The sequence below is a fragment of the Homo sapiens genome, chromosome 9 (assembly GCF_000001405.40).
Source record: "Homo sapiens chromosome 9, GRCh38.p14 Primary Assembly".
Taxonomy (NCBI): Eukaryota; Metazoa; Chordata; class Mammalia; order Primates; family Hominidae; genus Homo; species Homo sapiens.
The window spans coordinates 19,082,849-19,106,913 of NC_000009.12; the positions used below are offsets into that span (position 1 = coordinate 19,082,849).

Sequence of the window (24,065 nt, forward strand, 5' to 3'; positions counted from 1 at the left end):
GCTTCCTTAATATCAAATGCTTACCTGAAACATTTGTTTCTCAATTTTGTCAAGTAAGAGCCTTGGAATATTAATAGCAACATTAGTTCCATCTAAAGCATATTGGTTAACAAGACTAAGGACCGAACTAACAACTTCTCTCTCTTTTTCCAAAAACATGAGCGTTTCATTCACTGAAGCCCACAAAGACCGAACCTTTGGAAACAGAAACAAAATATTAAAGTCCACACATAATCTGTACATATTTTAAAAATGTAAATGTATGTTCACTCTTAGTAACAAATTTCCTAGAATGATTTCTAGTAAGAAAATTAAATAATTATACTTTAATAGTTTAAAAGTCCCTTTGGATATTATTTCCAAAGGGAATTTTTAAAAAAATGTATCAGGAGAATCTAGCTCACTATAATTTTCAAACAAATCTAAGAATTTTTTTGTTTTCAGAGATGGGGTCTTACTATGTTGCCCAGGCCAGACTCAAACTCCTGGGCTCAAGCAATCTTCCCACATCAGCCTCCCAAGTAGCTGGGACTACAGGCACGCACCACTGCACCCAGCTCCAAATCTAAGAAATCTTATACAAGATACAATTAGCATTTTCTATATGCTGACATGTAATTAATCGAATGAAGATCATTCAGGGAGAAATAATTTTAAAAATTTTTCAAGAGAAGCCGGGCGCAGTGGCTCACGTCTGTAATCCCAGCCCTTTGGGAGGCCGAGGCAAGCAGATCACGAGGTCAGGAGATAGAGACCATCCTGGCTAACACGGTGAAACCCCGTCTCTAATAAAAATACAAAAACTTAGCCAGGCGTGGTGGCAGGTGCCTGTAATCCCAGCTACTCGGGAGGCTGAGGCAGAAGAATGGTGTGAACCCGGCAGGCGGAGCTTGCAGTAAGCCAAGATCGCGCCACTGCACTCCAGCCTAGGGGACAGAGCAAGACTCCATCTCAAAAAAAAAAAAAAAATTTTTTTTCAAGAGAAAAAAACTACTACATCTCAATTTTAAGTCATTCAGTTTGAGGAAGTTAAAGTGTAAAAAATTATGCCTCATTAAAAGCAAAAAATCTTAGGCATATACTAATCTATATTCATTAAAATTGATATACAAGAATATTTAGGCACGCACAGTGGCGCATACCTGTAATCCCAGCTACTCAGAAGGCTGAGGTAAAAGGATCCCTTAAGCCCAGGATCCTTGCAAAAAAAAAAAAAAAAAGAATACTCATAGAATGTCTATTTGTAACAATCAAAAAGTAGAATCAATCCAAAGGTCCATCCAGAGTAAAAAGGGTACATTGGTGCTATATTCATAAAATAGAACACTAAGCAGCAATGAGAATAAACATACTACAATTACACACAACAGCATGGATAAATATCATAAACAATGTTGAGCCAAAGTCAGACACAAAAGAATATATTCTATATACTGGCATTTATATGAAGTTCAAAAACAGGCAAAACTAATCTTTAGTGTAACATGTGAGGGCACTGTTTCCCCGTGGGGGCAAACAGTGTAAACTAAACAGGTTCAAGGAGGATTCTAGGGTGCTGGTAACATCCTATTCCTTAAATGATGATGGTTACATGGACTTGTTCACTTTGTGAAAATTTGTCAAGCTATATACTTATGAGTTACACATTTCTTGTATATATGTTATGCATTAACAGAATTTACAAAAGAGGGAGGGAGGTGGAGAAATATAATTATACACATGTTCTTCCTGCACGATAAAAATACAATATTAAATATCTCTAATTAGTTCACTTTTTTTCTTTTTTCTTTTTTTTTTTTTTTGAAACAAGGTCTCACTCTGTCACCCAGGCTGGAGTGCAGTGGCACAATCTTGGCTCACTGCAACCTCTGCCTCCCAGGTTCAAGTGATTCTTGTGCCTCAGTCACCCAAATAGCTGGGACTACAGGTGAGTACCACCACACCAGACTACTTTTTTATTTTTGGTAGAGACAGGGTTTCACCATGTTGGCCAGGCTGGCCTCAAACTCCTGGCCTCAAGTGATCCAACCATATCGGCCTCCCAAAGTGCTCACAGGCGTGAGCCACTGTACCCCCGCCTCTTTTTTTTTTCTTTTTTAAGACGGGTCTCGCTCTGTTGCCCAGGCTACAGTCCACTGGCACAACCAGAGCACACTGCAGCCTTGAGCTCCTGGGCTCAAACAATCCTCCTGCCTCAGCCTCCTGAGTAGGTGAAACTATAGGTGTGTGCCACCCTAAATATCTCTGACATGTTGTATGGCAAGGTAAAGTTGTTCCCAAAGGAAGACTCATTGGCTAGCAGTCTAGAGGTCTCACAGAATGGCATTTCCTTGATGAATCTGTAATTGTCCAGGATCTGGTTCTCATATTTTCCAAGTCTAGATTTTTATCTTGACAATGGCTCAAAGTTGACTGTACTCAGGGAAAACAAATATGAACCAAACTCAGAAGAGACTGATGTGAAAACTTTAATAGGTTCTGCAAATTATTTTAATTATATAATTTGCAATCAGAGATTCATTAAATGGAAAATTCCATGAAGGAAGTGACTTTGCCTTGCCTGTTCTCCTCATTGTTGTAGCCCTAATGTCTACGAGATACCTAGCACATATCAGATGATCAATACATTCACTGAATAAAAATATTTCCTGAAGAGGGCGCTAACCTTTACAGGTGACAATGTGCCTTGGAAGCCAAATTTATACCCACAGCAGCTTGGCATGGCAATCACAGAATCACAACAAAGAGCTTGAGAGAGATTTTATCCAAAAAAAAAAAAAAAGAAAACCTAAGAAAATACTTAACTCACATCAAAGCCAAACTCTGGAGGCCTCAGATCATTTTCATTTGTCAGAATCCTCCCTCCTGCCAAACCAGACTCATTTTGATTCCTCATTTTCCTTTCATACTTAACATCTCCCTTCAGTTAATCCATTTTATTTAGATAAATTAATACCACTGACTAGGTTATACTACAATCAAGCAGAGCTTTTTGTACTGGGGTGGAGAATTTCAAATTAATCATGTCTAAAAACCCTTTTGAATATAATTAAGCTTATGAACTATAAGTTCATTTTTCCATTATATTCAAGTGTTTTAGAGGCACTCTATCAATATCTTTATATATACAACCTATGAGTTTTAAAAAAAAAAAAAGTAATAGTACTATAAAAAGAAAGGGGACCGGGCGCAGTGGCTCATGCCTGTAATCCCAGCACTTTGGGAGACTGAGGCGGGCAGATCACCTGAGGTCAGGAGTTCAAGACCAGCTTGGCCAACATGGCGAAACCCTATCTCTACAAAAATACAAAAATCAGCTGCACATATTGGCACACACCTGTAATCCCACCTACTAGGGAGGCTGAGGCAGGAGAATTGCTTGAACCCAGGAGGTGGAGGTTGCAGTGAGCTGAGACCACGCCACTGCACTCCAGCCTGGGAGAGTGAGACTCCATCTCAAAAGGGGGAGGGGAGGGGGAAGGGGAAGGGAGGCTGGGCGCGGTGGCTCATGCCTGTAATCCCAGCACTTTGGGAGGCCAAGGCATGCAGATCATCTGAGCTCAAGAGTTCAAGACCAGCCTGGCCAACATGGTGAAACTCTATCTCTACTAAAAACACAAAATTAGCCAGGCGTGGTGGCGCATGCTTGTAATCCCAGCTACTTAGGAGGCTGAGGCAACAGAATCACTTGAACTCAAGAGGCAGAGGGTGTAGTGAGCCAAAATCATGCCACTGCACTCCAGCCTGGGCAACAGAGCGAGACTCCAACTCCAAAAAAAAAAAAAAAAAGTGGTAAATAGACTATAAGAGTCCCACTAATTAAGCAAACACTGCGTATCACAGAATTTTAAAAGATTAAATTTCTCCTTTTATAAGTTGTCTCACCTTTTGAATTTTTTCTTCCATATTACTGTGGTCATCATAGGGTTCCATTCTAATAAAAATTAAATAATCTAATTAGTCATATTAAAAATCACATGGTAATTTAATATCCAAAGAGCTAATTAGTCTGCAAATCAACCCACCAACAACCACCCCAACAAAAAATAAAATTTAATCTGAAAGCGATAATAATTTATTAGGAAAACTGGATTAGCAGTCATAACTATGCTCTAATCCTATCATCATCTGGCTATTGATATATTATTTTAATTAATGTTTGTGGGAGTCTGTTTCCTAGCCTGTAAAATGCAAGAGCTAAACTAGTATCTAAGGCAACTTCTAGCTCTAAAAGTCACTTACTTCTTTATTTGGTTTTCCAATCCTATACATTCAGATCTCAAGTTTCGTACCTGCTTAACTGATAATCTGCAAGAAAACATACAAAATGACAACTATAATACCATTACGATTAATTAGTATAGCCCACTTCTCTATTTTCCCTTTGCATATCCTTGTTTAAGGCCTCTGGGTACAGCCACCAGCAAGCTAAAGGACTCTAGACTCTCTTTATCACACAAGTGATTCAACATACAGGCTCCTATTGAGATGGACCTAGGACTCATAGGTTAGTATATCCTCTCCGATTAAAATGATGGAGGTTAGTAAGACGACTCTGCTCTTATCCTCATCTCACATACCCAGGAATAAATTTAAATGTTATCTAATACAGTCAGGCAACATTTCAGTTAATTTCAAAGGATTCTATAGCTTTAGTAATATATAACAAAGCATTCTACAAAGTTATCCTACTGTAACTGTTTACAATTGCAAAAAAGAAATTAGGCCAGGTGCAATGGCTCACACCTGTAATGCCTATATTTTGGGAGGCTGAGGCAGGAATGTGGCTTCAGGCCAGGAGTTTGAGACCAGCCTGGCTACAAAGCAAGACCCTGTCTCTACAAAAAAATTTAAAAATTAGCTGGGTGTGGTAGAACACGCCTGTACTCCCAGCTACAGTGGGAAGATCACTTGAGCCCAGGAGGTCAAGGCTGCCGTGAGTCATAATCATGCCACTGCACTCTAGTCTAGCTAAGCAACAGAGCAAGACCTTGTCTCAAAAAAAAAAAAAAAAAAAAAAAAACCACATGCACACACAATTATATACAACCTATTCTTTGAGAGTAACAGCCTTGTCTGTCCTGTTTAATTCTGTAATATCAATGCCTAAACAGTATCTGACACATAGAAGAAACTCCAAGAAAAAAAGATATGCTGCATAGATGAACCTAAACATAAAATAGCATTAAGTGGTTTAAAAAAATGATGGACTACCTACCTGAAAGAATATCTGCTTAATGAAATATCCACTAACAGGACTAATAGACATTAAAAGTAATACACTGGTAGGGTACAGTGGCTCACGCCTATAATCCCAGCACTTTGGGAGGCTGAGGCGGGTGGATCACCTGAGGTCAGGAGTTCGAGACCAGCTTGGCCAACATGGCGAAACCCCTTCTCTACTAAAAAATACAAAAATTAGCTAGGCATGGTAGCATGCACCTGTAATCCCAATTACTCGGGAGGCTGAGGCAGGAGAATTGCTTGAACCTGGGAGGTGGAGGTTGCAGTGAGCCGAGATTGTGACACTGCGCTCCAGCCAGGGCAACAGAGTGAGACTCCGTCTCAAAAAAAAAAAAAAATAGTAATACACTATGGCAATATGCAAAAATTTACAGAATGAAATAGCAAGACAAAAAAGGATACGAAATAAAATAAACACTACAATTACAACTTTAAAATATATTTCCATATTTTACAAAGCACATAAGAAAACTGAACTTTTTAAACTAAAGTGGGCCGGGCACAGTGGCTCATGCCTGCAATCCCAGCACTTTGGGAGGCCAAGGCAGGCGGATCACTTGAGGTCAGGAGTTCGAGACCAGCATGGTCAACATGGCAAAACCCGGTCGCTACTATAAATACAAAAAAAAAAAAAAATGAGCCAGGCGTGGTGGCAGGCGCCTGTAATCTCAGCTACTCAGGAGCCTGAGGCAGGAGAATCGTTTGAACCCAGAAGGTGGAGGTTGCAGTGAGCCAAGATTGCACTACTGCACTCAAGCCTGGGCAACACAGCGAGACTCCATCCCAAAATAAATAAATAAATAAGTAAAGTGATCTTTTCTTTTTCCCTAAAGTTTTAAAATATTTTAGGCAGAAGTTATCTGACTATAGCCAGCCACAGTGGCTCATGTCTGTAATCTCAGCACTTTGGGAGGCTGAGATGGGCAGAATACGTGAGCTCAGAAGTTTGAGATCAGTCTAGGCAACATGGTGAAACCCCGTCTCTATTAAAAATACAAAAATTAGCTGGGCATGGTGGCCTGCGCCAATAATCCCAGGTACTCTGGAGGCTGAGGTGGGAGGATGACTTAAGCCTAGGAAGCAGAGGCTGCAGTGAGCCGACATCGCGCCACTGCATTCCAGCCTAGGAGCCTGGGTGACAGAACCAGACCCTGTCTCAGATAGGGAAAAAAAAAAAGAAGAAGAAGTTATCTGACTTTAAAATAGAAAGATAACCGCCAAGGTTTTCAGGTAGGCATGGATTATTTCTCCTGACATTATATTGGTGACATCTGTTCAAAAGAAAGAAATTATTTTCTAACTATCAAGGTACTACTTACTGTGCATTTTCCTGATATTTTTGGGTAACACAATCTTGTCTTTGCAAAATTTGTAAAAATCTGCTACGTGCGAAATGGCATCTGGCAATGCATTTGTGCAAGTCCTGTGGTTTTATGTTAAATGTCTCTACAAAATGATGAGAAGAATCTACACAGAACACAAATAAGATTATAGAAAACAGGCTGGTCTGATAGTAGTGGGTTATCAGAAATGAACATTAGTGTCACTAACGTTGGTGGTATACAATCTCCCACTGCTAAATCTGATTGACTTTTAAAAAAAGGAAAACAGACTTACAAGCTAATAAATACCAAAAATGTTGAATTTCAATATTAAGAAATTAAATTAACATCACGTAACTAACAACTCCCCAAAAGCTAGTATACCACAAACATATAACAACTAATGTTTTGTTTTGGTATTTTGGGTTGTTTTTTTGAGACAGGGTCTCACTCTATTGCCCAGGCTGGAGTGCAGTGGCACAAGCATAGGTCACTGCAGCCTCAACCTTCCGGGTTCAAGCAATCCTCTCACCTCAGCCTCCAGAGTAGCTGAGACTACAAGCACGCACCACCATGCCCAGCTAGTTTTTTTTTTATTATTTTTTGTAGAGACTGGGTCTGAAGGTGTTGCCCAGGCTAGTCTTGAACTCCAGGACTCAAGGGATCCTCCTGTCTCAGTCTCCCAGAGTGCTGGGATTACAGGCCACCACATTCAGCCTGACACAACTAATGTTAATGAAAGTAAGATGACCTTTTTTTAAGGCAGGCAACTAAAAAAGATTTCTAAAGGCGAGTTATTTTACACAATTAAAAATTTTCAGAGTGTATCCACCTAAAAAAATTCTTATTATAATTTGAGATATCTAGAAATACATTTATATCCGTAATAGTGTATTTATTTATAGATACCTCAAATTATAATAAGAGCTACTTTGCTTCCAAACAGAATCTTTTCTTTTTCTTTTTTTGAGACGGAGTCTCCCTCAGTCACCCAGGCTGAAATGCAGTGGCGTGATCTCGGCTCACTGCAACCTCCGCCTCCAGGGTTCACGCCATTCTCCTGCCTCAGCCTCCCAAGTAGCTGGGACTACAGGTGCCCGCCACCACGCCCGGCTAATTTTTTGTAATTTTAGTAGAGACGGGTTTCACCCTGTTAGCCAGGATGATCTTGATCTCCTGGCCTCATGATCCGCCCGCCCTGACCTCCCAAAGTGCTGGGATTATAGGCGTGAGCCACCTCGCCCAGCCATAGAATCTTTTAACAAAGGAAGAAAGTCAATATAAAAAGATAAGAGGAGATCACATCATCTCCATTGCTGCCATCAGTTTACTTTTCCTCCTAGTAAGACCAATAGGACAGGATAACCAAATAAAACCACTGTTCATTTCTCAAACAATTCGTCACTGTGTTACTAAAAACCAGAGTAGACCTGAGAATAACTCATGTAAATATTTCAGAGTTCAGGTTTTTACCTGTAATAAATCCTACTTTAACATGGTTCAATACAACAAAAACATGAATATTCTGAAAATCAGGGACTTCCACAATGTATTAACATTGCTTATCCAGGTTCTAGCATTGCCTCAGAGAAACCACCAGAATTGGCCGGGCGCAGTGGCTCAGGCCTGTAATCCCAGCACTTTGGGAGGCCGAGGCGGGTGGATCACAAGGTCAGGAGTTCGAGACCAGCCTGGCCAACATAATGATACCCCATCTATACTAAAAATACAAAAAAATTAGCAGGCATGGTGGCGCATGCCTGTAGTCCCAGCTACTCGGAAGGCTGAAGCAGTAGAATCGCTTGAACCCGGGAAGTGGATGTTGCAGTAAGCCGAGATCGCGCCACCGCACTCCAGCTTGGGCAACAGAGTGAGACTTCGTCTGCGAAAAAAAAAAAAAGAAACCACCAAAATTTCTAAATATTTAACAGGAAATGAGTGTACCGAATTTAGAAGTTATCTAGACTCTGAACACGTTGACTGGAATTGGTTTAAATCCAGAAATAGGACAATCCATGCTTAGAAGTCTTATGCCTTATTAAATCCAAACACACATATTTTATATAAAATAGTTTGTATTACATGTAATTGGGGCAGATCATCCAGTAGCAGAAAAACTGGAAACATTCTTATATTACATTTGTAATCCTAGCACTTTGGGAGGCCAAGGTGGCAGGATTACTTGAGACCAGGAGTTCGAATCAAAACCAGCCTGGGCAACATAGGGAGACCCACCCCATCTCTTAAAAAAAAATAAAACTTTTTTGAGACTGAGTCTGCTCTATCACCCAGGCTGGAATGCAGTGGTGCGATCTTGGCTCACTGCACCCTCTGCCTCCCAGGTTCAAGCGATTCTCGTGCCTCAGCCTCCCAAGTAGCTGGGATTACAGGTGCCCACCACCATGCCAGGTTCATTTTTGTATTTTCAGTAATGACAGGGTTTCACCATGTTGGCCAGGCTGGTGTCGAACTCCTGACCTCAAGTGATCTGCCTACCTCAGCCTCCCAAAGTCCTGGGATTACAGGCATGAGCCACCACACTCAGCCAAAAAATAAACATTTTTTTTTAAGTACAAATTGCTCTTAAACATGAAACAATTTTCAACCTCACTAATAAAAGAAATACAAATTAAAACTATACTGAGATTCCACTGGAACCTATCAGACTGAAAAGATTAAAATGTCTGGTCACATACGATGCTAATAAGCCTTTAGGAAAACAGACATTATCCATACAATAGTGATAAAAGTATCAGTTGTCGCCGGGCACGGTGGCTTATGCATGTAATCCCAGCACTTTAGGAGGCCAAGGCAGGAAGACTGCCTGAGCACAGGGGTTCAAGACCAGCCTGGGAAATATGGTGTAACCCTGGTATTAAAAAAAAAAAACAACAACAAAAGGCCTGGTGTGGTGTCTCATGCCTGTAATCCTAACACTTTGGTGTAATCCTAACACTTTGGGAGGCCGAGGCAGGCGGATCACCTGAGGTCGGGAGTTTGAGACCAGCCTGACCAACAGGGAGAAACCCCATCTCTACTAAAAATACAAAATTAGCCGGGTGTAGAAGTGCATGCCTGTAATCCCAGCTACTCCGGGGGCTGAGGCAGGAGAATCGCTTGAACCCAGGAGGCAGAGGTTGCGGTGAGCCAAGATCGCGCCATTGCACTCCAGCCTGGGCAACAAGAAAAAAAACTCCGTCTCGGAAAAAAAAAAAAAAAAAAAAAAAAGCCAGGCGCATTGGCTCATACCTGTAATCCCAACACTTTGGGAGGCCCAGGTGGGCAGATAATCTGAGGTCAGGAGTTCAAGACCAGCCTGGCTAACATGGTAAAACTCCATTTCTAATAAAAATACAAAAAATTAGCCAGTCATGGTGGCAGACACCTGTAATCCCAGCTACTCAGGAGGCTGAGGCAGGAAAATTGCTTGAACCTGGGAGGCAGAGGTTGGAGTGAGCCAAGATCACAGCATTGCACTCCAGCTTGAGCGAAACTGTGTCTCAAAAAAAAAAAAAAAAAGAAATGTTTCCCAACCCTTGTATTAGAACATAATAAAATAATATAAATAGTAACTGTGTTTATTATGAGAAGATTTTAAAGTACACTTCCAGTAGAATATTAACCATTTCCTTTTTGGGGTACATTAATGTTTTAACTTACCTTGATTTTACTAAGATCTCTTCACGATTTAAAAATTGTAAAGAACAATAAAAATTTAAGAATCAAAACAAAAAATCTTTTATAAGTTGAACTTACTTTTAGAATTGGATTTAATATATTTCATTGCAACAAATCTTGCAAAATGATACATCAGATGAATAAACTTAGGACCACCAGGAGAAAGAAATAGTGAACCAACAACTTGAGGAAAGCTACTTCCACATTCACCCTATGAAGAAAAGAAATAAGATGATTTGAAGACCTTGTTAACAATAACTCTTACATTTACATCACACTATTTTTGTTAAAGGGTGTGACAGTCTTGCAATAGAAGTCCCACATTTTCATAAGTACTATGCTATAGGTTGGCGTGGGGTTCCCTAGGACCTCTTCATAGCACAGTGGCTTGGACACATCCAACTGTGCAGCAGAGTGCAAAGCAAAGTGGGTAAGGCCCCCAGGCCACTGTCTCCTCATCACACTATTTTTGAAGCATAAAAGAATTTGATCAGGGCTGGGTGTGGTGGCTCATACCTGTAATCCCAGCATTTTGGGAGGCCGAGGCAGACGGATCACTGGAGGTCAGGAGTTCAAGACCAGCCTGGCCAACATGGTGAAACCCCGTCTCTACTGAAAATACAAAAGTTATCTGGGCATGGTAGTACATGGCTGTAATCCCAGCTACTCAGGAGGCTGAGATGGGAGAATCATTCGAACCTGGGAGACAGAGGTTGCAGTGAGCCAAGATTGCGCCATTGCACTCCAGCCTGGGTGACAGAAGAAGACTCTGTCTCAAAAAAAAGTAATAATAAAATAAAATAAAGAATTTGATCAGAATTATTCCTTTTAAACCACAAGTTACATGTTTTGGTTTTTCTAAACTCTACGTGGACCTGGTCAGAAAAAACAATTATAATGATACAGACACAATCATTGATACTATCTGGGCAAACAAACTAAAATAATATACGGTTGGAAAAGTTTTCTTTAAACAAAAACTGTGCTATAAACGCTCAGGAACTCTAAAGCCTATTTTCAGTACACCTGGCCAGCAAAGCTGGTTTCTTCGAAATATATAGAATCCCAACCAAAAACCATCAAAGAAGACTATTTTAACTAATATTTCCTTGCTTATACTGATAGCATTAAAGCATTAAAAGGATTTCACCTCTAAAAAGTTAAAGAGTTAAAGTAGTTTTTAACTTCTTAAAGTCTGTATCTTCTAACAAAAAGAATACTTACAGAAATCCTTTTTATCCATTCACAGCAATGTTTTCGGAATTCAGTGTCACTTTTTTGGTCAAATGGGGGCCAACAAAATCTGGAAAACAAAAATAAAAGCGTAAGGACTATGCACAACAATAGCCAAAAAAAAAAGCCTCAGCAAATTTTTTAAAAATCAAACTTATTTCTAATACCAGAAATATTAATGCATGGCCAAGCGCGGTGGCTCACACTTTTAATCCCAGCACTTTGGAAAGCCAATGCAGACAGATCACTTGAGGCCAGGAGTTTGAGACCAGCCTGGCCAACATGGAGAAATCCCGTCTCTATTAAAAATATAAAAATTAACTAGGCATAGTGGTGTGCGCCTATAGCCCCAGCTACTCGGGAGCTGAGGCACGAGTATTGCTTGAACCCAGGAGATGGAGTCTGCAGTGAGCCAAGATGGCACCACTGCACTGCAGCCTGGGTGACCCTGTCTCAAAAGAAAAAAAAACCATTAAAGTGAAATGAATTAAAGCTAACCTTCTTAGATAACAGCTAGAGAGACACCAACCTGTGAGAAATTTAATTTTTTTATTTATAAACATCTATAGGGTTGAGTTCTGTGTCATACAAATAACTAAAATGTATTAAATGAGGGAATGAACAGCTATAAAAATTGCTGAAAATCAGCTAAAGACAACAATCTCAATGGATCCACTGGACTAGTGCATAAAGACAATATAAATAAATTAGTAAATTAAGCCTGAAAAGAAATAGTAATCTTGCCAGAGAGAAACATAAACAGATATATATGAAGAAGAGAAAAAATGGCATACAAGATTATGACTCCTAGAGATAATCCTTATCATAACTGTGGGTGCTATTATTTTGTGGCTAAACAAGACAGAAAAACATTAAAAAGAGAAGTTTTGCTTCAACTTTGGTCAAAAATATTAGGGTTTAAAATTTACCTACTGCTTTCCTTTCACAGTCAGGCTTTTCCAAATTTTTATTCTGAGGCATAATTATTTAAGGCCTCATACCTTTTCTATAACTACATTCAGTATTCACAGAAAAAACTGAGCATGCATAGGAAACAAAAAGACTAAAAGGCTAGAATGTCAACAGTGATACTCCATGGTTGACGGGTTTCAAAACAATTTTTACATTTTCCTATATTTTCTGAATTACTTAAAATGAGCCATAATGTTGATAATCAGCAAAAAAAAAAAAAAATTAAAATCTGTTTTTATTTGGACAGAAGAAACCCTATACCTTAATAATAGGGAATTCCAAAAAATCATCCAAACATACCTATTATCCTGCATACTCAGAACTTTAAATAAAAGCAAAATATTGAAAATAGATTATCAAAAATGAAAATAATGCCCTAAGCGATAGACCTACTTGTTGCTTTTCTATATAAAAGATTGATGGTACAATATAAATATCAAAATAAATTTGAACACTTTTTTAGATAGCAGAAACACAAATCACATGCAAAATAACTTAGGACTGAGACTTGTGGGTGCTTACATTTTTATCTCCTTCTTAAACTAATATTCAATAGCATATAACAGTAGAGTAAATGTAATAGGAATGATTTTTGCCTAAAGCAATTGATGCTTTAATATATCAATGAAAAAAATAAGGATTTACAGATAGCCGTGTAGACAAAACAACACTGCCTATAGGAAAAGTAGTAAGGCACAGAGTACCGAGCAAAAAAAATTGGGCAAAATCAAGTTCATACGGATTGATATCATTTAATTGTTTTGCTAACAATAATTTGCTTAATTATTAAGACCGTAAATAAAATGTTAAGAAATCTATAAAAACTATATTACTTATAAAATACACAATGATTTTAAGATATGTACCAAAGAAAAAAATCACCCAGATTTATAAAGATTAAGTATTAAATGTATAAGACTCAAACCTGAATTTTGTAATATTCATTCAAAACAACAGTCAAAGGCCAAGTTGAAATTCTGGCTTATGCCGGGCGTGGTGGCTCACGCCTGTAATCACAGCGCTTTGGGAGGCCGAGGCAGGTGGATCACCTGAGGTCAGGAGTTTGAGACCAGCCTGACCAACAGGGTGAAACCCCAGCTCCAATAAAAATGCAAAACTTAGCTAGGCGTCGTGGCAGTCACCTATAATCCCAGCTACTCAGGATGCTGAGACAGGAGAATTTCTTGAACCCAGGAGGCAGAGGTTGCAGTGAGCCTAGATCACGCCACTGCACTCCAGCCTCGATGACGGAGTGAGACTCCGTCTCAAAAAAAAAAAAAAAAAAAAAAAAAGGAGAGAATTCTGGCTTGTATCAAAACGCTGTCCATTTTCAAATTTGGAAAGAAATTTAAGAAAATGAAATTATTTTTCCTTACTTGAAAACTTCTTTGGTGAGAGACTGGTCCAGAACTTGAAACAAAAAATAAGAAATTATATGAAAGGCATCACGGTTCAGCTTGTCAAACATGTTCCTAGTGGTTAAAAATGAAATAGAAATAGAAAAAGAAAAAGGTTAATAAGCTAAACATCATCAAAAGCTGAGTAAGACTTTGACACAAATTAATGTTTTCATTCTCTTCAGGAAGTCAAGGCAAATTAATTTTTCTCATTCATGTGTATTTTATAACCAGTAAGAAAAACATACAAGCTTTCATTTTCTAATTCTGAAAACACAGATTCAATATAAGACTGGCAGAACTGGCTTTAATGAAAACACTCTACAGAAAAGGAAGGAAAACCTATTTCAAGAGAAACATGCCTTATAATGGTAACAACCTACATTTACTGAATAACAATAAATAGCTAATATTTATTAAGAGTACATGTTAGACCTAAAACCATAAAAACCCTAGAAGAAAACCTAGGCAATACCATTCAGGACATAGGCATGGGCAAGGACTGCATGTCTAAAACACCAAAAGCAATGGCAACAAAAGCCAAAATTGACAAATGGGATCTAATTAAACTAAACAGCTTCTGCACAGCAAAAGAAACTGCCATCAGAGTGAACAGGCAACCTACGGAAAGGGAGAAAATTTTGCAACCTACTCATCTGACAAAGGGCTAATATCCAGAATCTAAAATGAACTCAAACAAATTTACAAGAAAAAAACAAACAACCCCATCAAAAAGTGGGTGAAGGATATGAACAGACACTTCTCAAAAGAAGACATTTATGCAGCCAAAAAACACATGAAAAAATGCTCATCATCACTGGCCATCAGAGAAATGCAAATCAAAACCACAATGAGATACCATCTCACACCAGTTAGAATGGGGATCATTAAAAAGTCAGGAAACAACAGGTGCTGGAAAGGATGTGGAGAAAGCACTGATTTGAAATATGTCACCTCACCCTAGAGTCCAGGGTCTTCACTACTAGATTTTTATTTCCAGAACCATCTTTATAACATAATGCTGGCAATAGTTTTTATTGTGCCAATTACCCTAATTAATCAAAACAAAGCCTAAAAAAAAAAAAAGTGAAAACAAAAATGAAAGAACACTAAACCCTTTAAGAAAATGTCACACAACTATAAGGAATCAAGAGTTAACTTAAACGGCAAAGCATGAAATTTCCTTCCAAAAAATCAAATCAAGTGAATTTCTGACTTAGGATTACTATTCTCTTGCGTAAGTTCCTATGCCTATCCATTTGTCAAACAACACTTTTGTCCTTAGAACATCTCTACTCTTCAAGTAACACAAATGAAGTTCCATCTATCCTACTTCCTTACCATCTCTCAAACCTGTTGTTTTTTCACAAAGTACCTTGTTCTCTTCTCTTTGACACTTATTGTAATTTGTAATAAGATATTTGTTGAAGATTTGTTCCATCGCTAGACTAAAATTCTGTAAGGGGTCGGGTGCAGCGGCTCACACCTGTAATCCCAGCATTTTGGGAGGCCAAGGCAGGCAGATCATGAGTCAAGAGATTGAGACCATCCTGGCCAACATGGCGAATCGCCATCTCCACTAAAAATACAAAAATTAGCTGGGCGTGGTGGCGTGCACCTGTAATCCCAGCTACTCAGGAGGCTGAGGCAGGAGAATCGCTTGAACCCAGGAGGCAGAGGTTGCAGTGAGCCAAGATCGCGCCACCGCACTCCAGCCTGGCAAAAGAGCAAGACTTCGTCTCAAAAAAAAAAAAAAAAAAATTATATAAGGGAAAATTTATATCTATTCTCTTCACCACTGTATAGCCAGGTCCAATACAGTGGTCAATAAATATTTGTTGAATGAACAAATAAATGAATCACCTCTTTTTATTCCTACTGCCACTTTAGTTCAGGCCTAAATAATTAACTGCAAAGCGCTTCTTCCCCTTCTATCTATTCTCTGTAATGCAACCATATGATTTTTCCAAACTGCAAACCTTTTGGGCAAATACCTTGGAATGGATTGTTGAGTCATACATTATGTTTAACATTTAAAAAAAGTGGAGCCGGGCCCGGTGGCTCACGCCTGTAATCCCAGCACTCTGGGAGGCCGAGGCAGGTGGATCACCTGAGGTCGGGAGTTCGAGACCAGCCTGACCAACATGGAGAAACCCCGTCTCTACTAAAAATACAAAATTAGCAGGGCATGGTGGCGCATGCCTAAAATCCCAGCTACTCCAGAGGCTGAGGCAGGAGAATCGCTTGAACCTGGGAGGCGGAGGTTGCGGTGAGGTCATGCCATTGCACTCCAGCCTGGGCAACAAGAGCAAAACTCCATCTCAAAAAAAAAAAAAAAAAGAAAAAAAGAAAAGTGGTCATACCACTACAGGGTCATAGAAACAAAAAAATCATAAACTGCAAACCAAAGAGAACGTATACGTATAAAATGTAAGTGAATAAAAAATAATGGGGTTTTTTTTGTTTGTTTTTTTGTGTTTTTTTTTTTTTGAGACGGAGTCTCGCTCTGTCCCCCAGGCTGGAGTGCAGCGGCGCGATCTCGGCTCACTGCAAGCTCTGCCTCCTGGGTTCACGCCATTCTCCTGCCTCAGCCTCCCGAATAGCTGCGACTACAGGCGCCCGCCAACACGCCCGGCTAATTTTTTGTATTTTTAGTAGAGATAGGGTTTCACCGTGTTAGCTAGGATGGTCTCAATTTCCTGACCTCGTGATCCGCCCATCTCGGCCTCCCAAAGTGCTGGAATTACAGGCGTGAGCCACCGCACCCGGCCTCTTTTTTGTTTTTAAGAGACAGGGTCTCACTCTTGTTACCCAGGCTGGAGTGCAGTGCTACCATCATAGCTCACTGTAGCCTCAAACTCCTGGGCTCAAGCAATACTCCCACCTTGCCCTCCCATAGCACAGGGATTAACAGGTGTGAACCACCATGCCTAGCCTAATTGCATTTTTAAGAGACAGGGTCTCACTATGTTGCCCAGGCTGGTCTCAAATTTCTGGCCTCAAGCAATCTCCCACCTCAGCCTTCTGAGTAGCTGGATTTACAAATGCATCGAGCAATTTTAAAAGTAACTTTGGCAGGGTGCAGTGGCTCATGTCTGTAATCCCAGCACTTTGGGAGGCTGACGCGGGAGGATCACTTAAGCCCAGAGGGTCAAGACCAGCCTCCACAACACAGTGAGAACCCATCTCTACAAAAAGAATAGAATTAAACTTAGCTGCCCAGGTGTGGTGGCTCAGGCCTATAATCCCAGCACTTTGGGAGGCCAAGGCAGGTGGATCACAAGGTCAGGAATTTAAGATTCCGCCTGGCTAAGATGGAGAAACCCGGTCTCTACTAAAAATACAAAAAAATTAGCCAGGCGTGGTGGCAGGCGCCTGTATTCCCAGCTACTCAGGAGGCTGAGGCAGAGAATTGCTTGAACCAGGGAGGCGGGGGTTGCAGTGAGTCCAGATCGCACCACTGCACTCCCGCCTGGGCGACAGAGCAAGACTCCATCTCAAAAAAAAAAGAATTAAAACTAGCCAGGCGTGGCAGCAGGCACCTGTAATTCCAGCTATTCGGGAGGCTGAAGTGGAAGGAAGGATCGCTTGAGCCCAGGAGATGGAGGCTGCAGTGAGCCACATTCAGGCCACTGCACTCCAGCCTGAGAGACAGAGCCAGACTATCTCAAAAAATAAAAACAAAAAAGTAAATTTAATGCCACATCCATGTTGAAAGCATTTAAAGTGGACATGTGTTACAAGATGGTGGATCCTGCAGAGAAAAGGGAATGCTTGTACTTTGTTGGTGGAATGTAAAGTAGTACAGCCATTATGGGAAACCATAGGCTCCTTAAAAAACTAAAAATAGAAGTACCCTATGATCCAGCAATCCCACTGCTGGGTATATATCCAAAAGGAAGGAGATCAGTATATGAAAGAGGCATCTGCACTCCCATGTTTAGTGACACATTATTCACAATAGTCGAGATACAGAATCAACCTAAGTTGAATGGATAAAGAAAACAGATGAATGGATAAAGAAATTGTGGTATATATACACAATGGAATATTATTCAGCCACACAAAAAGAAGAAAATCCTGTCATCTGCAGCAACATGGATGGGACTGGAGGTCATTATCTTAAGTAAAATAAACCAGGCACGGAAAGACAAATATCACATGTTCTCACATGTGAAAGCAAAAAAAGTGGACCTCATGGAGGTAGGGAGTAGAATGGTGGTTAACACAGTCTAGGAAAGGAAAAGGAGAGAAGGAGGGAGGAAGAGAAGTTGATTAATGGGTACAAATATACAGTTAGATAGAAGGAATAAGTTCTAGTGTTCAATAGTACATAAGTGAAACTATAGTTAAAAATAATTTATTGTGTATTTTAAAATAGCTAGAAAAGAACTGAAATGTTTCCAACACAAAGGAAAGATAAATGTTTGAGATGATGGCTATCCCATTTATCCTGATCTGATCCTTATACATTGTATAAGTGTATCAAAATATCAAAATTTTATATCCCCAAAATATGTACAACTATGAACATAAATAAAACAGGCCAGGCTCGGTGGCTCACATCTGTAATCCCAGCACTTGGAGTGGCCAAGGCGGGGGGATTGCTGGAGGCCAGGAGCTCAAGACCAGCCTGGGCAACATGCCGACCCTAGGCATGGTGCCACGCACCTGTAGTCCCAGCTACTCAGGAGGGTGAAGTGGGAGGATCGCCTGAGCCCAGGAGTTGGAGGCTGCAGTGAGCTGTGATCGCACAACTGCACTCCAGACTGGGCGACAGAGTGGGAGACCCTGTCTCAAAACAAAAAACAATGGCTCATATCTATAATCCCAGCACTTTGGAAGACCGAAGCAGGAGGATTGCTTGAGCCCAGGAATTTTGAGACCAGCCTGGGCAACATGGTTAGCTACTGTCTCTAAAATAATAATACTTTAAAAAAATAGAGGCCGGGCACGGTGGCTCACGCCTGTAATCCCAGCACTTTGGGAGGCCGAGGCAGGTGGATCATGAGCTCAGGAGATCGAGACCATCCTGGCCAACATGGTGAAACCCCGTCTCTACTAAAGATACAAAAATTGGTTGGGCGTGGTGGCAAGTGCCTGTAATCCCAGCTACTCGGGAGGCTGAGGCAGGAGAATCGCTTGAACCAGGGAGTTGGAGGGTGCAGTGAGCCGAGATCGTGCCACTGCACTCCAGCCTGGCAACAGAGGGAGACTCCATATGAAAGAAAAGAATTCCTCTTGGCCTACAGTGGGAATGATTAAATAGAGATACTGGCTAAAGTTGATAAAACAGAAGTGGAAAAAGTAGGGAAGGGGCTTTTACTTTCCATACTTTTCTTAAAAGGGTATTTGTTTTTAATACCCTTCTCCGTTGTTTTATGCTAACTCCAACATGCCTTACTAATTAAAAAATTAAAAATTATAAAATTAAACAACCACCTTCAAAGGCTCCCTTGAGTCCAAAAGGTGTTTTGTACATATGGTTCCCATGCTCTTCCACTACCACCCGCCATCCCTCCCACTACTTCACAGACCACCCCTCCACCACATAGGCAGAGTTAAGCTGCTCCTCCAGTCTTGCACTCTCCCCATCTGCAGACTTTTGCACTCCCCTACAGAGCGCTTCCGGCACTCTTGCATTATTTACTGTCTGTCTCTGCCCCTAGGCTGGCAGCAACTGGGAGTAGGAACTTTGGAGCCAATGCCTGGCACAGAGTAACTGCTCAACCAATTCTGATTAATCAACCTCCGGGGTCTACAAAAGGGGGAGTCCCCCGGCGTCCCCCGGTTCAGGCTCCCTCGCCCCGCCGGCCCCGGCCTCCTTACACTCCGAGGTGCGTGTGCGACACGATCTTTCCGCAGGCAATGGTTGCCGGGCCTGGCTCGAAGCCGAGCGCCTGCAGATACATCCAGAGATGCTCCTTCTCGAAAGCGGTGACCGAGGCCGAGCTCATCCTCGCGGTAGGCACGGTGGCTGCAAAGAAAGAAAGCGCAAGCCCAGGGGACTCGGAGGGCCCTCAAGATCCCTCCCTACGGTCAGCCTGAGGTCGCGGTGGTCCTTCCATTGCCAACGCCTGCTCCTTTCACGCCCAGAGCGATTTCGCCTCAAAGGGCCTCACAACCTCCGGGAAATTGAGTTTCTAACGGTATAGTGCGGCCACCACTGCCTCAGCGAAGCCACCACAAACCGAGACTCCCGCCCTTAAGGAAGAGCAGTGTGCGCCGGCGCCGCCAGGCGTCCGAGGGAGGAGGGACTTCCGGCAAAGACTATATCTCCCGCCATGCAATGCGTCCTTCTCTCCTCCCTTCCGGCCATGCCCAGCCAAGAAACTGCAAGACCCACCGGGCATTGCGCGGCCAGCGACTTGCTCTGCGCTTGCTTAACCGCTGTCGTGCCCAGATCCTCGGGCCTTCGGGTTTCTGATTCTTGGTTAGTGGGGTCCATTTGCTTGTGTATCCTAGTTGTTACGTCACAAAAAAGCCATAAATGGAGCACTATGCCTCGGTGTAGAGTTAAAGCATTGGTTCCATCCTCCGCTATGCTCACTGTGACTCTAATCAAGTCACGTAATCTCTGAGCCTCATTTCTGTCGTTAGCGAAATCTATGTCCTCAAATGCCGGATGTTCCTTTTCCTGCTTTAAATGAAATCTGGCTCTATACTCCCCTGCAGTCCTGCAGTCTTTTTTTTTTTTTTTTTTTTTTTTGAGACGGGGTTTCGCTCTTGTTGCTCAAGTTGGGGTGCAGTGACGCGATTTCGGCTCACTGCAACCTCCGCCTCCCGGGTTCAAGCGATTCTCCTGCCTCAGCCTCCCGAGTAGCTGGGATTAACAGGTGTCCGCCACCACGCCCGGCTAATTTTTTTGTATTTTTAATGGAGACGGGGTTTCACCATGTTGGCTGGCTGGTCTCGAACTCCTGACCTCAGGTTATCTGCCGGTCTTGGCCTCCCAAAGTGCTGGGATTACAGGCGTGAGCCACTGCGCCTGGCCGCCTGCAGTCCTCTTAATTTTTTTTTTTTTTTTTTTTTTTTTTTTGAGACGGAGTCTAGCTCTGTCTCCCAGGCTGGAGTGCAGTGGCGCAATCTCGGCTCACTGCAAGCTCCGCCTCCCAGGTTCACGCCATTCTCCTGCCTCAGCCTCCCGAGTAGCTGGGACTACAGGCTCCCACCACCACGCCGGGCTAATTTTTTGTATTTTTAGTAGAGACGGGGTTTCACCCTGTTAGCCAGGATGGTCTCGATCTCCTGACCTCGTGATCCGCCCTCCTCGGCCTCCCGAAGTGCTGGGATTATAGGCGTGAGCCACCGCACCCGGCCCGTCGTCTTAATTGACAGCTGTTGCCTACCACAAACCCCACTGACAACAGGGCCTGGAAGTGGATTGGGTAACCTGCTTTTAAGTCTCATTGCTACCTCTGGCAATGATTGTCTCCTGCCTCACTAAAATCACCTTAATAAAAGAGAGAGAGGCGGGGCACAGTGGCTCACGCCTATAATCCCAGCACTTTGGGAGGCCAAGGTGGGCGGATCACCTGAGGTGGGGAGTTCGAGACCAGCCTGACCAACATGTAGAAACCCCGTCTCTACTAAAAATACAAAATTAGCCGGGCGTGGTAGCGCATGCCTGTAATCCCAGCTCAGCTACTCGGGAGGCTGAGGCAGAAGAATCGCTTGAACCCGGGAGGCAGACGTTGCAGTGAGCCAAGATCCTTCCACTGCATTCCAGCCTGGGCGACAAAGTGAGACTCTGTCTCAAAAAAAAAAAAAAAAAAGAGGAGAGAGAGAGAGAGAAAGAAAGAAAAGCCACTAAGTTGCCCAGGCTGGGCTCGAACTCCTGGGCTCAAGCGACCTGCCCACCTTGACCTCCCAAGGAATGAGCCACCGTGCCCAGCCTAAAAGCACCTTTTGAAGTTTATGCTATCACCCATAGCTTTTCATTATGGAGGTCATCTGTAAGATCTCTGACTCCATTCTGGTGGTGCACGCCTGTGGTCCAGCTGCTCAGAAGGCTGAGGTGGGAAAATCACGTGGGCCCTGGGAGGCTGAGGCTGCAGTAAACTGTGATTGCACGACTGCACTTCAGCCTAGTGACAGAGCAAGACCCTTCTCAAAGCAAAAGAACAGCCACAAAAAAAAAATCTCTGACTCCTGTCGACAAAAAGAGTCAAAGTCTGTAAAATTGTTGCCGGAAAAAACAGAGTCCTGATCCAGACCCAAAGAGAAGGTTCTTGGATCTCGTGCAGGAAATAATTTGAGGTGAATCACAGAACACAATGAAGGAAGCAAGTTTATTGGAAACTACTCCGTTGAAGAGCGGAGCAACCTCAGAAAGCAGGCGGAGGAACACAAGGTCCTTTGTTACTGTCTCTGCTTGTAAGAAACTATAAAGAGCTGTGATTAAACTTGGAATGCGCAGATGTGCTCACTAAAGGTAGGGCTATTGTGCTTTCAGAGACCATTAATCTTTCAACCTAAGCTTGCTCATTAACGTCATCTTTAAGTAAAGTGGGCTGCTCTTTAGAACATCTGGACATTCTGCAGGCTTAGTGGGAGATGTCCTGTATGGCCATAAATATTCTGTAATTATAATTGGTGGCCAGCTTAGAATGTGGCTATTTTTAAACCATAAGCATTAATTTTATAGGAGCCTTGTAAGTGCCTAGCTACTTTAAGATGGAGTCACTCTAGTCATGTTTTATTAAACCAGAGGTCTGGTAAGCAGGGGTTCCTCTAACAGAATATTTAAAGAGGTTTATTCTGAGCCAAATATGAATGACCATGGCCTGAGGCACAGTCTCAAGAGTTCCTGAGAACATGTGCCCAAGATGATGGGGCTATAGCTTTGTTTTATACAGTTTTAGAGAGACATAAGACATCAATCAATACACGTGACGTATACATTGGTTCTGTACAGAAAGGTGAGGCAACTCAAAGTGGTGGGTTCAGGTCATAGGTGGACTCAAAGATTTTCTGATTGGGGCGGATGTGATGGCTCACACCTGTAATCTCTACACTTTGGGAGGCCGAGGCAGACGGATCACTTGAGGTCAGGAGTTTGAGACCAGCCTGGCCAACATGGTGAAACCCCATCTCTACTAAATATACAAACATTAGCCGGGCATGGTGGTGCGCACCTGTAATCCCAGCTACTCGGGAGGCTGAGGCAGGAAAATCGCTTGAACCCGAGAGGCTGAGATTGCAGTGAGCCGAGATCACACCACTGAACTCCAGCCTGGGCGACTGGGTGAGACTGTGTCTCAAAACAAAACAACAACAACAACAACAACAAAGATTTTATGATTGCCATTGGTTTAGAGTCAAGCTACTATCTAAAGACCTGGAATCCATAGAAAAGTTTCTAGGTCAAGATAAGTGGTTGTGGACACCAGGGTTAGTATGAAGTCTCATAGGTGGCCACCCAAAAGTACTAGAAGCTGGATGCGGTGGCTCACACCTATAATCCCAACACTTTGGGAGGCTGAGGCTGTGGATTGCTTCAGCCCAGGAGGCAGAGGTTTCAGTGAGCCCACATCATGCCACTGCACACCAGCCTGGGCAACAGAGCAAGACCCTGTCTCAGAAAAAAAAAAAAAATTTAGGCTAGACACAGCGGCTCACACCTGTAATCCTGCATTTTGAGAGGCCAAGGCAGGCAGATCACCTGAGGTCAAGAGTTCAAGACCAACCCAGCCAACATGGTGAAACCCCATCTCTACTAAAAAGACAAAAATTAGCTAGGCATGGTGGCAGACGCCTGTAGTCCCAGCTACTTGGGAGGCTAAGGCAGGAGAATCCCTTGAACCCAGGAGGCAGAGGTTGCAGTGAGCTGAGATCACATGCCACGCCACTGTACTCCAGCCTGGGTGACAGAGCAAGTATTGGATCCTCAGTTAATCTCTTCAGGATTGGGAGGGCCTGCCAGGGGAAAGATCTACTTATTTATTTATGAGACGGAGTCTCACTCTATCGCCCAGGCTGGAGTGCAGTGGCGCCATCTCTGCTCAGTGCAACGTCTGCCTCCTGGGTTCAAGTAATTCTCCTGCCTCAGCCTCCCAAGTAGCTGGGATTACAGGCATGCGCCACCATGCCCAGCTAATTTTTGTATTTTCAGTAGAGACGGGGTTTCACCGTGTTGGCCAGGCTGGTCTGGAACTCCAGACCTCAGGTGATCTGCCTGCCTCGGCCTCCCAAAGTGCTGAGATTACAGGCGTGAGCC

The 24,065-nt window shown here is 42.4% G+C and overlaps 1 protein-coding gene across 3 annotated transcripts in view, besides 1 other annotated feature; it reads right to left on the reverse strand.

The window, feature by feature from the left end:
• HAUS6 (HAUS augmin like complex subunit 6) overlaps positions 1-20,056 on the reverse strand; it is a 49,764-nt gene extending 29,708 nt beyond the window's left edge. For 2 of the 3 annotated variants that reach the window (NM_001270890.2, NM_017645.5), the window contains exons 1-8: positions 19,676-20,056; positions 13,826-13,921; positions 11,469-11,547; positions 10,323-10,455; positions 6,564-6,711; positions 4,243-4,308; positions 3,886-3,934; positions 25-195 (exon numbers count right to left, since the gene is read on the reverse strand). In NM_001270890.2, coding sequence (NP_001257819.1) covers positions 25-195; positions 3,886-3,934; positions 4,243-4,308; positions 6,564-6,711; positions 10,323-10,455; positions 11,469-11,547; positions 13,826-13,921; positions 19,676-19,803 — 870 coding nt within the window. In that variant the 5' untranslated portion in view covers positions 19,804-20,056. Of the gene's footprint in view, positions 1-24; positions 196-3,885; positions 3,935-4,242; positions 4,309-6,563; positions 6,712-10,322; positions 10,456-11,468; positions 11,548-13,825; positions 13,922-19,675 lie in introns of those variants that run through there. The other variant, XM_047423518.1, reaches the window with a different exon arrangement.
• Positions 19,735-20,298: an enhancer, noted in NCBI's record as "H3K27ac hESC enhancer chr9:19102581-19103144 (GRCh37/hg19 assembly coordinates)". NCBI's record gives its function as "activates a minimal SCP1, AML or CMV promoter by ChIP-STARR-seq in naive H9 embryonic stem cells {active_cell/tissue: H9 hESC(naive)}" and the evidence as "EXISTENCE:reporter gene assay evidence [ECO:0000049][PMID:30033119]".